Below are 16,948 nucleotides of genomic sequence, written 5' to 3' on the forward strand. Positions count from 1 at the left end.
AACTCAGGGATTGGAGTTTTTAAGGATAATTTGGTGGGTAGGAGGTTGAAAAATGGGGAGTGCTGATTGATAAGTTTGGAAATGAAATCATATGGAGTTGAAACTGTACTCTTGCACTAAGTCAGTTTCTGGGTGGAGGCCACAAGACCAGATGAGCCAGTTTATCCATCTGGGTGGTACCAGCTGATCCACTGAGTGCAGGGTCTGCATAATACCTCAAGCACTGATCTTAGGTTTTACAATAGTGATGTTATCCTGAGGAGCAAATTGGGAAGTTTAGAATCTTGCAGCCTCCAGCCGCATGACTCCTAAACCATAGTTTCTAACCTTGTGGCTAATTTGTTAGTCCTGCAAAGGCAGTCTAGTGCCCAGACAGGAAGGGGATTTGTTTTGGGAAAGGGCTGTTATCGTCTTTATTTCAAAGGTAAGCTATAAACTAAGTTCCTCCCAAAGTTGGTTCAGCCTATGCCCAGGAATGAACAATGACAGCTTGGAGGTTACAAGCAAGATGGAGTCAGTTAGGTCAGATCTGTTTCACTGTAATAATTTTCTCAGTTACAATTTTTGCAAGGAGGGTTTCAGTAGTAATAACAGCAAACGCTTATACAATGTTTGCTATCTGCCAGTTATGGTTTAATCACTGTATATGTTTTAACTCCATGAATCCCTACAACAGCCCTATATTATTAGGTATTATTATTATTCCACTGAGAAAACTGGGGCACAGAGATGGTAAATAACTTGTCTAACAACCCATAATATTCATGGAGTTGAGATTTGAACCCACACAGTCTGACTCCGGAGCTGTGCTCCAAATACTATATATACTATGTTCCTCGTACTATGAGGTTATATGGGTAAACACACTGACTCAAGATTCATGCCACTAAATAGTATTACATGTATTAAAATGTATGAAAGATGAATTAAATATATATATAATAATATATAAAATACAATGCAGATATATATGTAGCCTAAGTATTTTTTAAAACTTTCTCTTCAAAGAATTGAGTCCAGATATAATAATTCACACCAACAATGTTTATTAAAAGAAGATGAGAGAGGAAACAACGGCAAAATTAAATTTTGTTAAAACAATAAAATGAAGCAGGGAGAAATGTAATTCCACAAGAATGTATTCAACTAAAATTGGAGTGAAAATTTGGGCCTGAGGATCCTGAAAGATACAGCACAAGAAAAACAGGTGAAGAGTTATAATGTTCGCCTCATCCCAAGGTTCAAAGCCCATGCCTGTCTCTCAAGACAAGTCCAAGAGAAATTTCTCCCATGGTTCCTCTGATCAGGACATGGTGGGTGGTGAGGAACATCACTTTCTTTTGAAGAAAGAGAGTTGGAGGAGGACCAGGGCCTGATAGAAATCCCATGCATTGGTGTCAAAATGGCAGACCCACTCTCTTTTCCTGCACAAGATAATAGGGCCTCTGTTTTTCTTTCCTTATCTGTACAAATGTGCTGTCTTCATTTGTGTTCCCCGAGAATGACACCTTGTATCAAGAATTTGAGTACACATTCTTTCTTTGGTTGTTGATCCTGGGAAACCCTAATAGCAGAGTGGGGCCATAAGACAGGAAGGGAAGGATGTTAATGAAGGGTGAGTTATCCAGCCTGACAGCCCAGTGGGCAGCAGGAGCTTCCTTGTGCTGGGGAATTCTAGAAGAGAGTGTAGAACACACACCTCAGAGTTATCCCAATGAGGGCTAAGGATGCTGGGGTAGTTTTTAACCAAATCTTCATCTGTCATTGCTTGGAAGCTTCTAGGGGCATTATTCTCCAGCATTTCCAGCTTGCCCTGTATGGGAACAGCCAGACAATTGCCCTTAACCAGAGAAGCACAGGTAATCCCAGAAGAATGCTTGGGAGGGAGAGGTACATGCCTAGGAAATACGCACAAGGCACAGAAGAACTCTAGCATGGATAATTGTGGCCCTTGCCTCCTAGCACAGTTGTAATGACTGAATGGTAATAAATAGAAAGCACTTGGACTGCTGTCTGATTTGAGAAAAAACTTAAGAGTTGGGGAAAATCATGTTGGCTCACAATACTAAAACGTCTAGGAGAAAACCTTGAAGCTTCAGGAAAGGGTGGATCCAGGCACTCAAATATATTGGTCTAGGCAAGAGCATGGTGGGAGGGAAATAGCCTGTGCTGAGGGGTGCAGAGCTTGTGGAATACAGATGAATTTTAGAGTTTGATTTAGTAAAGACCATGTTGTCTTTGTGGTCCATTTCATATCTAGTATATTAAGCAGATTCATTGTCAGATACTCAAAGTGAACTCAAATCATCAGTGAATGCAGTTGTGGGGCAGGGGGCGGATGAGTCAACACAATTTGGCATCATGTAGCTAAAACCACCAGTGGTGTGATGGATGGTTTCATTTCTTCTTGGACTGTTTTGGCATTGTGTAGACGGAGCCTAAATTGGTGCCCGCACCTCACACTAATCATGCCCAGAGAGAGATAACATGGAGCTATTGAGATCCCCAAGCAGCACTTTGGCACACACACTATCTGACAATATCAAGAGATGAAGGAGGCCTTTGAAATGAGCTTTCGCGCGTGAGTAATGACCTTCAGGATGTGGCTCAGGATTGTCTTTTGAAACTGGTATATCTTGATGGATGATTGAAAAGCTGCTGTCTTTGGTATAGTTTTCGTGGTTTTATATTTGAGGATGTGTAATAAATAAATGTGTAATTGCCCTCAACATGATGCAAGACCAGGAGGTGAAGATGACACAGAAAAGTCCTATAACAGCATAAAATTTTATTAGGCTCCCCATTGGTAGGCAAGTCAGTGTTGTGTGAACAAAGAATAGTCTGTCTTAAGGTGACCAAGATAGAAACCAATACAGTGAGGAACAAATTCCACCAGCTGATTTGCAGGGAGGTAGAGGAGCGAGGCGGGCGTGAAGGATAGGTACTCTCATTTTTAAGATCTTTATGAAAGTAGTTTCAGGACCCGTATTAATAACTGCAACAACCACCTGAACCATTGACCTTATAATTCTGAAGATTAACCAGTTAGTATTTATAAAGCATTTGATGTTATTTTTTCAGTTGATGGGAATAGCTACATTTCAGTGGCCTGTAATTCTTAATTCATTGATGTCTTCTTCTTCCATTTTGATGCTAAGGTTGATTTTGTGCCCAATGTATTAATTACATGCTTTTTGTTTTTTATTCTTTGTGATCTCAACTCAGCTTATTACATATTTTTTGTTTCCTCATGTGACTCTCATTATTGGCTTTATACATGGATAAATCTATCTGTCTCTTCTAAATTAACTTTGATCTCTTTTAGTGACAATTGATGGGTGACAACCTTAGATATTATACATGGTGCCTGGAAACTGGGCTCAGCTTTCTTTTCATCCCCTTTTCTTTCAGTAGGTCAAAGAATGTCTTTAATATCTCTGTATAAACTCCATTTTGAAGATTTGTATGTTAACAGTTTTGTGCTATCATCTACAAAAAAGGCATAGACACAAAAGTTTAATTGTAGTCCTACCTTCTTCAATCCAGTCTAGAAACTTAAATGTTCACAAAGATTTAATAATATTGTTTAATGAATACTAATTCAATATTTTTCAAAGCTTTAATAATGTCATGTCATAATATCATTAGAAAAGAAATTTTTGATTGTTGGTTGCCATATCACTGTGGTATTAATGTGATTTGTGTGAGACTAAGATTTCTTTTTGTTTGTTTTAAACCAATATTCAGTTCCATCATATCTATGCATAAGACATGCATAAAATAAGTGGTGGGTCTATTTTGTTTTGTTTTGTTTTGTTTTGAGACAGAGTCTCATTCTGTTGCCCAGTCTGGTGTGCAGTGGTGCCATCTCTGCTCACTGCAACCTCCACCTCCTGGGTTCAAGTGACTCTCCTGCCTCAGCCTCCTGAGTAGTTGGGATTATAGGCATGCACCACCACGCCTGGCTAACTTTTGTATTTTTAGTAGAGCTGGGGTTTCACCATGTTGGTCAGGCTGGTTTGAATTCCTGACCTTGCGATCTGCCCGCCTCAGCCACCTAAAGTGCTGGGATTACAGGCGTGAGCCACCATGCCCGGCCAGTGGGTCTATGTCTTATAACAAGATTTGTGTTGTTGTTACACAGCTTAAAATAGAGGCATTTGCACAAACCTGATAAATACAAATGTGTCTTTTGGAAAGTCTCTAAATTCCTACAGCTAATATTTTCTATATCGTACTATTTAGTGTTTAATTATCTACGAACTTCAATTGATCACATGAATGTTATTTCTCTTTGGGGATTTGATCTCAAATGTCTAGAACAGTGGTTCTCAACTGGGGCAACTTCATTTCTCAGGGCACATTCTGCATTGTCTGGGACACTTTTTATTGAAACAACTAGGGTGGGGAAGCTGTTAGCATCTAGCGTGTAGAGGCGAGAGTTGCTGCTAAGCTTCCCACAGTGCACAGGACACCGCCCACCACACAGAGTGATCCAGCTTCGAACCTCAATAGTGTTGAAGATGAGAAATCCTGCATAGGAAGAATTTTGCTTTCTATTTCTTAATTTCTTGTTCTGGATATAGTACAGGCCTGACACCCTGTAGATGCTCATATTCAATTTGAGAATGTGGCTGAGTTTGCCTATTAAATCAGGACCCCAAGTGGATCTAAGTGCAGTGGTTTTGATTGAAAGAAAAAAAAAGTTTTTGCATTCAATATGTATGGATCATGGGGTGGGGGTTGATACAAAATAGAAAAAATATATAGATAAAGAAAATGAAGACATCTCCCAATCTTTTCTGAGATTGCCATCAACATAAAAGGCAGGTTATTAATCTTCAGGGTACAGTCTTTGTATGGAGGGAATCCCTTGGGGGTTATTGGAAATTTTATTGCTTTTCATTGGACTCAGTGTAAAATGGGGTAATTTAGGCTTAACAAACAAAGCTCGGGTTGACTCACTTTTTTTCAGAGGCTCCAGAAAGAGAATTCTCACAGAGCAGGAATCAACCTTTTCCTCCATAAATCACAGGAGGAGGTGAGAATTTGGCTAATATCCAGAGCACTGCAAAGAAATAAACAATGCAAAGCAATCTGTGGCTTACTTGATGCCAGTTTCTCCGTAGATAAATATTTCTGTGTTTTGATCTTATACATTCTTCCCCCTCAAGCTGAAACTTTTTCTGTCTCTCTTCCAGTCTGTCTGTTAGGCGAGGCCTTGGGAGCAGGATCCTGACAATGTACTGGTCAGCTCTTTTAGGGTTTTTTTTTTTTTTTTAAAGTTGATTTCCTCTGCTGGTGAGCCATACATCACTGACATCCCTGTCTGTGCTGCTTGTCTGTGACAGAATGACAGGTGTCATTTGTCACTGGGGCTTGCGGAAGCTGTGGGAAGAGGGATTGAAATTTTTTTTCTGGAAGGGCTCAGTGTCTGCCAGATCATTAAAAAGGGGGCTTTCCAAAGAAAGCTGTGTGTAATGTGATTGCACTTACTGTCAACGATAGGCTAAAAGAAAGAGAGAACATCAAAAGGGAGTGAGAGAAAGAGGGGGAGGAAAGAGAGGAGGAGTTTCTGCCAGGGGCATTTAAAGTTCTTGAGCTGCCAATGCAAGGATCTGCTTTAGTTCAGTTCTAGTGTGTGCATGCTAAATAAGTCCTTCAGAGATTTCCGCTCAGCTCATGGTGCCAATGAGGAGACCGTAACAGGAAACCTCTTTAATAGCACTTCTTCTCATCACATATTATGTAGGGCATGGAGACAGACTTGGTACTATACAGGGCATGACTTGCAGTCCAATCATTGAAGAGCTGAGGCAGGAAAACCTATTTGAACAAAAGCAGAGGGTCCCAATAAATCACGAGGCAAAACTGAGACCTGCTGGCAGGCTCCTTCTCCAAAGAGACATTTACAGCATCCTGTTTGCATAAGCACGCTCGGAAAATGCCCAAGAATATCTCCTTGCAGCTTCTCTCCTCTTGGCATGAAGTCCGTCACCAAATGGATCTCCAGGGATCAGGGAATAGAGTCTGCTTATCATTTCATTGCAAAGGGGAAGTGTTCCTTATTCTACTCCCTGTGCCATTAAAGTAATAAAAAGAAGTTAACACTTTCATAGTTCTGCCTATGTGCCGGACACTGCGGTAAATGTTTTACTTATACACCTCACTGTAATCTTCATAGCAATCCTATGAGATCGCTATTTCTGTTTTGGGGATGGTGTCATTGAAGCACAGAGAGGTTAAGTAACTTATCCAAGGTTGCACACTTCTTGGCAAAGCTGGGATTCAAATCTGGATAGTTGGGGTCTGGAGTCTATGCTTTTAGCCTCTTATTGGGAGGGTGAATGATGAACACAGTGGGGAGGCCAGATGATTTTGATAACTTCCAGATTGCAAATCTAACCATGCTGATTTAGGAAATTAACAATTTAGTGATGATGCAAACCAGGGATCTGCAAACTACAGCCAGTGAGTCAAATCCCACCTGAAACCTGTTTTTATATAGCTGGCAAACTAGAAAGAATTTTCACATAAATGGTTGAAAAATTTTGTAAAAATCTGTTTTCTCTTTTGTTACATAAGTACCTGCACATATCCTCAATTTAGTCTCTTGTCTTGCAAAGCCTAAAATATTTACTAGCTGGTCCTTCACAGGGAGTGTTGGTGGCTTCTAATCTAAGGTAAAATCAACTACAGGAAAATAAAATAAAATAAAATAAAAGTTTTTTAAAAAAAAGAAGGAAAGAAAGAGAAAGAAGAAAGGAAAAAGGAAGGAAGGAGGAGAGGAAGGAAGGAAAGGAGGAAAAGAAAAAGAAGGAGGGAAGAAAGGAAGGAAGGAGAAGATCTTAAAAAGAGAAGAAAAGGAAGGGACTTCATTTAAAAGCAAATAAGAAAACTAAGATCCTCACCAGTGGAGCTCTGAGGCCAACAGAAACACTGAAATTGGGCTGGCTTAGGTATACTTACGTGGGAAGGCCATCCTTTCAAAATAAGTTTTCCTTGACTGCCTTTCCACAAAGCCTGCTGCTTGGAGAGACAAATTAGCTATTAGGTAATCTAGTTAATTGACAAGTGACTTAACTAATTACCCTAACATGCTTATTAAATGTTACCTTTCCCATTCTCAACACATTGTTAGAGCATCAATGTATTTAAGGCCTTATCATATCACGCTCTCTTGACAGCACATTCCTGTTAAAACAGAAGGTGCATGCAGTATGTTTTTTCTATCACTATTTTTCTCCCTCTGTGGTTAGAGTCATAAGAGATAGAATTGGGAGCTGGGTACATAACAAGCCCATCCCTATTAAGGAACAATGTCCTATTATACTGGTGCCTATTCGCTGAGATGGATCAAGAATGGACTAAGTAAAGAAATAATGCATAATATCAAGCCTCGGCTAATGGGTGTAGCTAAAGCTTAGAGAAAACTTACTTTGACTCTGGACTAGTCTTTCCTAGCTGGGAGGGCTAGTGTCTATATTTATACAAATCTACAAATTCCTCAACCAAAATTCTTTGAGGCAGATGTGTTTTACAGTTCAGAGTTTTCCAGATCTTAGAAAGAGAATATGGTACATATACCATGTAGTAGATAATATCTTCAGGAAGGAAGGTGAGGAATAGCATCTTGTATGTAAAAATATAAATATTTCTGCAATGAAGCATTAGGATTACTAAATGAGATTTTTTTAAGCTTTAAAAAGTTCAATAGATTTTTCTGCTACATGAATCACAGAAAATAAGTTTAAAAAAACTTTTGGTATTCAGAGCTTTTAGGATTTTGGGAATCAAAGATAAGGGATTGTGAACTAGGGTAAATGTTACTATCACCTCATGGCCTTTCTAATAACTACAGCCTTCAAGTTATTTTTAAATTTTATATTGGTCATAATTGATACATATGGATACCATTGGTGATTATTCTTTAGCATAATGTGAGATGAAGCATGATATATATCAAGATACATACAAAATAATATGTATGAATATATTTCATTATAATTAATGCCTTTATAAAATACTAAGCAATACAAGACGGTTGGAAGTAAATACAAAGATTCTCTTCTGTTTAGAACTGAACTCGAGGGCAAGGTTGCTGTAAAATGGGAAGCATCATCTGGTCCAAGGTTGACAAACTCTGATTTCTGCCAGAGCCACGCAGGTACCATGTACTAAAATCCTAAGATATACATTTTTCACATTACAACATCCCTGAAGTTAGGATGCATCCTCCATTCTTCATTGTACAATAGTTTGATTGGCAACATTTTTTTTTCACTTTCTTGACTGTGAAAGTAAAAAAGCATTAAGGAGCTTAGATCCAATCCACTGCAGTCTCAGAGGTGAGCCAGGGAACTCAGGTGACTTAGGAGCTTACACAGTTTCTACACAGGGCTCACTGGGGCTAACCCAAATTCTGACCCTGACCCTCACCCTAACTTTAACCCTGACCTTCACCCTAATCTTGACCCTAACCCTGACTCTCAGCCTAACCCTGACCTTTATCCTGACCCTGAGCTTGACCCTTATTCTAACCCTGACCCTAATCCTGACCCTGATTCTGAATGGCTGAATGGCTGTTGCTCTACTGGTTGTTGCCACACAGAAACACAGACCAGGGGTGGCCAATCAGATCTTTTGAGAGAAGCTAGAAATTCAGCCATGCAGTCTCACAAGATTTAACTGTTGTCATTTATTAACCCTATGTAGGACAACCAAGACAGGTCAGGTATCTAGATTGGATCTGGCCCTCCAACACCTAGAAAGATTTAATGAGTTGATTGACCAATATCACTCTGCTGAAATATGAAATTATGTCTGACACCTATGGTTTTATTTTTTGTCTGATTGGAATGACAGGTGAAATGATAAAAGCATAAGCCCAGAAACTCAGGGAACTACAGCAGAGAGGGAGAGATATTCAAGTAAACATAATTACATTTATAACATGGTGTGATGCTACCAGGGGCTTTGAGGACCCAGAGAAGAATTGCCTACCCCAGTCCTGTGCAGGCAGGAAAGAACACTCAGAGAAAGTGTTCAAAGCTGACAGAGGAATGAGTAGAGGGTGGTGTGGGAGAGAGGTTGATAGGGATATTCCAGGGAAAGGGAGCAGCATGTGCCCAGGTCCAGAATCCATCATGCCTCAGAATGCCTTTTCAAAAATGAAATCACCCATAACACAATCAGGACATCCTATGCAGCCGCATGGAACCAAAATCAGCTGACCTATTAGGAAGTTGATAAGAGAGAAAAGAATATCTGCTGTGACCATAGCCCCTGACACATCCTATAGCTCTGTAGCGAGGCAAGCATAAATGTCCCCAGCCTGGGATTCTATCAGAGCTCAAAGAGCAGGACTGTTCCTGCAGTGTGGCCAAAGCAGGCAGTGGCCTAGAGAGTGCTAGGCAAGAGGTCCCTGTCACCAGGTATTACTTCAAAAGTTGCATGTGCCACCCTGTCCCTCTCCTGCTTGGTCAAGGCTGTAGATGACCACATCAAATTGTATATTGGGATGTTACAGTTCTTGGACTGCAAGCAGGATCAACTGACTTGGTAACTTAAACAAAAAGGAAATTCCTTGCAGGGTTACCAGTAACTCACAGAATGGATGTGAAAGGTGGAGGACTAATCTTAGAAATGGTTCAATGTCAGAACAGACCCTGAGTCTAGAAAGTAGAAACTGCAGACCAGTTTGTTGAGGTCCCACCACTGGACTAAATGAATTGCTCTTCAAATTTCCTCATTTTCTTGTCTTCTATGGTCAAGATGCAAATTTCATGAAAAGAGTGTCCAGTTTGCCCAACTGGAGCCATTAGCTTTTGCTGCATTAAAAAACCATTCCAAAACTCAGCAGCTTAAAACAGGGACCACTTATTTAGTCCGTGGTCCTGCAGGTCAATAATTTTGGCTAGACTCAGCTGATGACTGGCTGGTCTTGCGTGGCCTTAGATAAGATGGTTCAGCTCCTCTCATAAGGTCTCTCATCCTCCAGCAGGCTAACCTAGGCTTGTTCCCATGGTGGTAGCAGAGTTGTAAGAGCAAAAGCCTGTAAGTCCTTGTGATCTAGTCTCAGAACTGTACTGTGCTTACTTCTATTGCATTCCATTGGACAAAGTAAGTCAAAAGGCCAGCCCAACTTAAGCAATGGAAAAATAAATGCTATCTTTTAACAGACAGAGCTTCGCAGTCACATGGCAAAATGTGTGCATACAAACAAGGCCAATTTACCAGCAATCAGTCATACTGGCTAGGGGACTAGAACAGGGGACTTGAAAAAGAGCTTTATCAGGCTACATCTAATGGGGAGTAAGTAGCAACTCCCCCAAAACTTTAGTTTTGTTAGGAAAGGGGAATGACCTAAGTGACCAAAAAAAATTTTTTTAAGAAGTAAATGTTTTTTTAACATTGCTCCTATGTATGATTCATTAGAAATAAGTGTCTTTTCCCATGAACAAAATTTGTTTCAGCAGTAAAATAAAAATAACAAATAATAAAATTAGGTCTCCCAGCTTCTCGTCAACTTCCTGGCATAGCAAGAACTGTGACCTTCCATGCACAACCACTGCGGGTGCCCTCTCTTGCCCAGTTGAAGGATCCAAACAGTGTGGCCCAGAGATTTTTGATTCAAAAATCAATTTCTGAAATATATGATGAAGTTCATCAATACTTTTCTTTCTGGACTACTCCAGCCCTCATTGACCACTCCTGTCTTTGAAATCTGAATGCACTGAAATCTAGAGGTAACTATGAGAGCTGGGCTTGAGTCACACACTTCCCGTATGATTCTGAGTCAGTGAACATCTCTAAAACCTCAAGGTTCTTATCTATAAAGTGAGTATAGAAGTGTAGCTCCCTCCAAATTTTGTGAGCTGTCACTGAGACAATCTATATAAAGCACATAGCATAGTATCTCCCGAATAATCAGCAACCAAAAACTATCCTTTGCTTATGCCATCATCATTATCATTATTGACATGCATTTAATTAGTTCTTCTGCCCCACTAGAAATTATGACATCTAAATATTACCTTCTGTATAAAAGATGCCTGTCACCTCGATGTAAGTTGAAAAAAAAATAGTTAATATGTGTGAGACTTTTGTTTCTTCTAAGACAGGTGTTTGAATATGCATTTTTTTTTTTTTTTTTTTTTTTAGTTTTGTCAGGAACTACATAAAGGTTAATCTCTTTTTCTGGCAAATATTTCCTGAGTGCTTCCATGAGGACTGCGTGGGTAGCTCACCTGTGATTCTGATCCGGAACTGGACCCTCCCTATGAAGTATTATTGTATCAATTGTTTGACCAGGCAGGGAACACCTGACCTACCCCAGTAGGTAATAGGGGAAGAGTTTAATAAAAAGACAATGAAAAGGTAGGAGTGGTGTTTAAGAAACCAAGAAGGGATAGTTCAGTGACCTGAGACTGGTGTCAGAAAGGAACCTTTGGTAGACGAACATAGGACTCATGGTAACCTGGTCAAAAGGAACCCGTGGGATATATATTCCCGCCTTTCCTCCTCCCACCTGCCCATCCCCTTTGGGCAAACTCCAGGGGTAGCCAGAGGACAGAGGATCTCATTGAGGGGATATATCAGGGACAGTCTCCCAGGGCACAGGTCTGGGAAGGAGGGTGCAGAATTAATGTACAGGGCAAGCAGAAGATACCCGGGACAGATCACTGAAGATTGAGGGAAAACTCAATGCACAATATCTTCCCACTTTGGGAAGACCCACTCTGAAAATGACTTCACTTTTTAGGACCTGGGCCCAGGAAAAATTACAAAAGGTTTTAAAACCCCGCTTACTAGGGAATTTTGCACATTTCATTTCAGGAGATGGGTTACCTGGTAGATCTCAATGTTGTGATAGACTCTACATTGGCCTCAAAAGACAATTAAGACATGATCCTGTTTTAAGTTAATGAGAAAACATTCCATCACTGGCTGTCTGGGTCACAAACTTGTAGCCTACAAGACAATACCACCCCTGGATGTTTCTCTAATATTTTTTAAAACTTTAATTAGGTATTGGCTAATTAAATATAAGGAGGTTTTACATATGTCTCTAAATGCCTGTTTCTTTTCAGAAGTTAGAAACCTGACCCCAAGAGTCTCATTTTCTCCTGGGAACAAGGGGCTGCAGCTGAGAGTGTGCAAGCTCTCCAGCTTGCCACAGTCCTCACCATTCTCTGTTGTCTCTAATTAGCCAGACCCACGTATCCTTTACCATTTTTATTGTTCTTGCACTCTAAATTTCATCATGGTAATGTTTCTTTTTACCCATATCTCTATCAGCAATGGGCCAAAAAAGCTAGTTGAAGAGGGTCAGTGAATTTTAAGCAAAATTTAAGAAAACATATGTCTCTGTGGAAGAAAAGAATCTTCCTACACTTATATACACAAAATGATGGTGTCTGCCTGGAAGGATGGCAACTCAGTGGGCCTTCTTTGGTTATCTTATTGGCTTGGGTCACATGGGCACTTGGGTTTGCAGTCCTGAGAACCCTATCCTTTTACATTCAAGTCACACATTCCAGAAGGAGAGCACTTTTGTATGCACCATCTCACTTAAACCTCATAATGACCTTGTGAAACAAGCAGAGCAAAGCTTATCACTCTTTAACCTAAGAAGAAGCTCAAACCAGTTCAGTGATTTTCCCAAGGTTACCCATCCAGCAAATGTCAGGACTAAAACCCAGATCTCATCATGAAGGGCAAACTCCCATGATTCAGAGACGACTGAGGCTTGTGTAGCCCAGAAAGAAAAGAATTGCTCAAGTTTGTCCTACATTTCAGGATGAAAGACCAAATGTCGTGATTTCTACACTGTGCTGAATTAATACTTTTTCTTAATTTTTTTTCTGGCCTACTTCATTTCCCCAATAGGTTATATTCTAAAGGCAGTCAAAGATTATAAGATAACGTTTCTGTAGGTAGGGGGAAATAAGAGCTGTTGAAATGACCTGAGTGTCATCTCTATCTCTGGGGACAGATACCATCTCACGACTTCTATCTGCCTAAGAGAAGTTAAGCAAGAAGGTGCAGAGCTTTATTAAGCAGAGAAACATTAGACCTTTCAGCTGCTTGTGCCATCTAATTACCTGTGACTCCTGGCATCACATGCAAGCTTTATTACTGCATGTGTGAAAACTGCAAGTCCTGCTTTCGTATCTGCCCTTTGAAACTCCTCCAAACATCTACCTCTACTCAATTTTCAGTACAGCTAGAATCTTACCCTCTATGAGCAAAGAAGCTAATTTCTCAATTATGCTTGAAATTTAGTAATTCTAGGAACAATTTTTTTTAGAGCTTAGATCCTTATGGGCGTAAAACACTCTGATTGTGTTTAAGGATTCTACCTTTTATCAGTGTCTCCAGTGGGTTTGAACAGAATTACTTCCTTTGGCAGTTTTCTGGAACTCTCTATAAATTCATTTTACTAATGTTCTGTTGAACAAACCTGTTCTATCCTCCAACATTGAGTTGGTTTTTTTTTTTTTTTTTAGAGACAGGATCTTGCTCTGTTGTCCAGGCTGGAGTGCAGTGGCATGATTGTAGCTCACTGCAGTCTGAAACTCCTGGGCTCAAGCAATCCTCATGCTTTAGCCTTCTGAGTAACTAAGACTACAGGTGCGCACTACCATGCCACGCCCCGAATTGGTATTTTTAAAGAAAGTATTCTCATCATGAAAATTTCTGCTTTGCTATAGGAAGCACTAGATAAAGTTGTTTGGTTAACACCAAGTGAAACTAGTGTTATGTATAGTAATGCATCTCAACATATTTACTCTATTTGATAATGAAACTGATTTACTTCTGCTTTTAGAGAGAGGGAGAGATGAATGGATGGTTCCTTGAGTGTTCTTCATGTATTTATTTATTTATTCAACTCACATACATTAAATACCTACTTTATGTTTCCTAGGCATTTGGGGGTCGCAATAAAGAGTAGTAAAGGTTCCTGACCTCAAGAAGGTTATACTCTAAAGGGAAAGAGTGGTGGGCAGTCACAGCCACAAACCAATGAATTTCAGGTAGTGAACACTGTCATACAGAGAGAAACTGAGAAATTTGAGTGGGGGATTGTGAATTGCTGCTGCCTTGGGTGGATTAGTCAAGGAAGATCTCATTTGAGGAGGCGATATTTGAACAAGATCTGAATGAAGTGAGGAAGGAAGCTGTGGGGCCGTGGAGGGAACAGTGTCCCAGGTGGAAGAAAACAGCCAAGACCCGGAAGTCACCATGGGCTTTAGAGACAGCAAGGAGACCCGGATGTCTGGAGCCGAATGAGGAAGGCAAAAGTGGAAGAGGCCACCAGGGGGCAGACTGTGCAGAACCTATGGGACTTCATAAGGACTTTGGATTTCACTGGAAGAGTAATGGATGAGGCTAGAAGGTTTGGGGCAGGAGAAAAGCATCATCTGACTTACCTGTGAGCAGGTTGACTGCACACCGGTGGATGGACCGTGGTGGGGGTGAGCTGGGAGCAGGCAGGCAGGACAGGGCTGTGGCAGTCGGTAGTGGCTGTGGCTGGGCTGATAGTGGTGGGCTGATAGTGGTGGAGGTTGTGAGAAATGGTTGGATTGTGGGTTAATTTTTGAAGTTTGAGCCTATCAGTGGGAGAACAGGACACTAAGAAGGACAGAGTAAGTGGCGTGTCCTTTAAATGAGATGATCTCAATATCCCCAGAAAGTGGCTCCTGTTTTTACTCTATCAACATCCATTTCCAAGACCCTGCCTCATTGCCTGTCAGAGTGTCGGGCCCTGGAACGCTCCAGCTGTGATAATGTCGTGGCCCTCAAGGACCACCCCCTCCCCAACCATGGAGGGACAAGCTAAATCCCTCCTTCATCACCACCGCCTGTTCCAGGCCACCATGGGTGCACACCCAGACTTCCTGTAGTAGTTTCTCCCATGGCCTCCCTGGCTGGTCTTTGCCTCACCTGCCCACTTTGCACACAAAAGCCACAACAATCTTTCTTTAAACCTTAAAACATTCTTTACATTGACTCTCCCTCTTTTCCTTCATTACATTTATTTTTAAAAGAAATTTTATTTCATAACTATACAGGGAAAATTAGCAGAACTGACGACAGATAGAAAGTAAACATGAAAACAAATACGATAGGTACAAAACAAGGTTGTCGAATTCCAGCTCATTTATTTGACAGCCTCTTACCCTCACAACCATGCTTTGTTATGACCATTATCTCATTTTAATCCTAAGTAAACTGAGTCCCAGAGAGATCAATTGATGTGCCAAAGTTCATAAAGCAAGGCAGGGAATGTACCACCCTAGTTTCCAGAGTTAAATGCCAGGCTGAGCCTGTGTTTTTGTCTTTTCCTCATCCTCTATAGTGGAGTCAGCAAAGTACAGCTCATGGGCCAAGTCCAGCCCAACATCTGTTTTTGGAAATAAAGTTTTATTGGCACACAGCCACTCTTATTTGTTGACGTATTGTCTGTGGCAGCTTCTGTACTATAATGGCAGAATTGAGTAGGTGCTACAGAGACCATGTGACCCTCAAAGCCTGAAATATTTATTATCAGGCCCTTTATAGAAAAAGTTTGCCAACCCATGTTCTAGATAGAAAAAAAAATGAAGTACATCAAAGAGAATAAGTTATAGTTCATGGAACACACATAATGTCTATTCTTCCCATGACTGCAACAAAATGTCAGTTAAAGAGAAATAAATGTTTTTTCAATGAATGATTTAAAAAACAGGAGTTAAAAAAAAAAAACAGGAAAACACTTAAGTGACCAAAGTCAATAAGTTTTCTATTGTTCAAAATAGGAATTGCTCTTATGACTTTATTCTTTCAGTTGATTCTGACAGTAAATTTATTCATTCATTTTTTTCATTCATTTGACAAATATTTATTTAATGTCTATACCATACTAAGCCAGTACCTGTAATAGCAACAGCATGTTCCATGCTGAGCAAATCTGACATTTTTCTTGCCTGAACATTGCTCACCTCTGGTGATAGACACAGTTGTTAGTCAAATAATTATAAAATTTGACTAGTCAGGGAAGTTGGAGGAGGCTTTCCTGAGGACGTTGTGTTTGAGGTAGGAGCTGAATGATGAGCAGGTGAAGAGGAGAGGGAAGTCCATCATCCCAGAAGGGAGGGTCCACATATGAAAAGGCCCAGTGGTAGGAGGGCACATAGTAGGCCCTAGGAAATTCAAAGCAAGATGCCTGTATGTCTGAAGAACAGAATGCAGGAGGGGCACATGGGAGAGAGGAGATTGGGGAGGCAGGTATCTCTGACCATACTGGGCTAAGAATTTCATGTTAAAGAGTTATTCTCCATCCTAAGAAAATGGAAAACATTGAAAGGGCTAAAGGGGGTGGTAGTTTTTTATGGGATGATCTTTCACCTTCATGGGTTCAGGAGTCCACATCAAATCCCTTATGGCTATGCCGAGTCTAATCCCTAGTCGTGCAAAGTATCTCTTCTCTGTGTTCCATAATCATCTGTTGTTCAGTTCAGGCATTTACAGTATTGCTGGAGCCAAGTAAAGCATGCACAAGTGCAGTAATAAGACAGACATTTTCAGGGCCGGGGGCAGTGGCTCATGCCTGTAATTCCAGCACTTTGGGAGGCTGAGGTAGACAGATCACTTGAGACCAGGAGTTCAAGACCAGCCTGACCAACATGACAAAACCCTGTCCCTACTAAAAATACAAAAATTAACTTGGCATGGTGGTGCACACCTAAGGCATGAGAATCTCTTAAACCCGGGAGGTGGAGGTTGCAGTGAGCTGAGATTGTGCCACTGCACTGCAGCCTGGGTGACAGGGCAAGACTCTGTCTCCAAAAAAAAAAAAAAAAAAGACATTTCAGTTTGCCCTTTCTAGATGAACCATGTGGCAAACTACACCTCTGGAAACATTTTTCTTTTGCTCACCATAGGCCCATCTTCTTTGAATGTA

At 40.6% G+C, this 16,948-nt stretch overlaps 1 protein-coding gene across 9 annotated transcripts in view, besides 2 other annotated features; it reads left to right on the plus strand.

The window, feature by feature from the left end:
* TSHZ2 (teashirt zinc finger homeobox 2) overlaps nucleotides 1–16,948 on the plus strand; it is a 522,973-nt gene that overhangs the window by 171,557 nt on the left and 334,468 nt on the right. The gene's annotated exons all lie outside the window — the stretch shown is intronic.
* Nucleotides 5,302–5,502: a silencer, noted in NCBI's record as "peak4263 fragment used in MPRA reporter construct". NCBI's record gives its function as "represses an SCP1 promoter by STARR-seq MPRAs in K562 erythroleukemia cells {active_cell/tissue: K562}" and the evidence as "EXISTENCE:reporter gene assay evidence [ECO:0000049][PMID:32103011]".
* Nucleotides 13,506–13,625: a silencer, noted in NCBI's record as "silent region_13046". NCBI's record gives its function as "represses an Ori minimal core promoter by ATAC-STARR-seq in GM12878 lymphoblastoid cells {active_cell/tissue: GM12878}" and the evidence as "EXISTENCE:reporter gene assay evidence [ECO:0000049][PMID:35858748]".

The sequence above is a fragment of the Homo sapiens genome, chromosome 20 (genome assembly GCF_000001405.40).
Source record: "Homo sapiens chromosome 20, GRCh38.p14 Primary Assembly".
NCBI classification, from domain to species: Eukaryota; Metazoa; Chordata; class Mammalia; order Primates; family Hominidae; genus Homo; species Homo sapiens.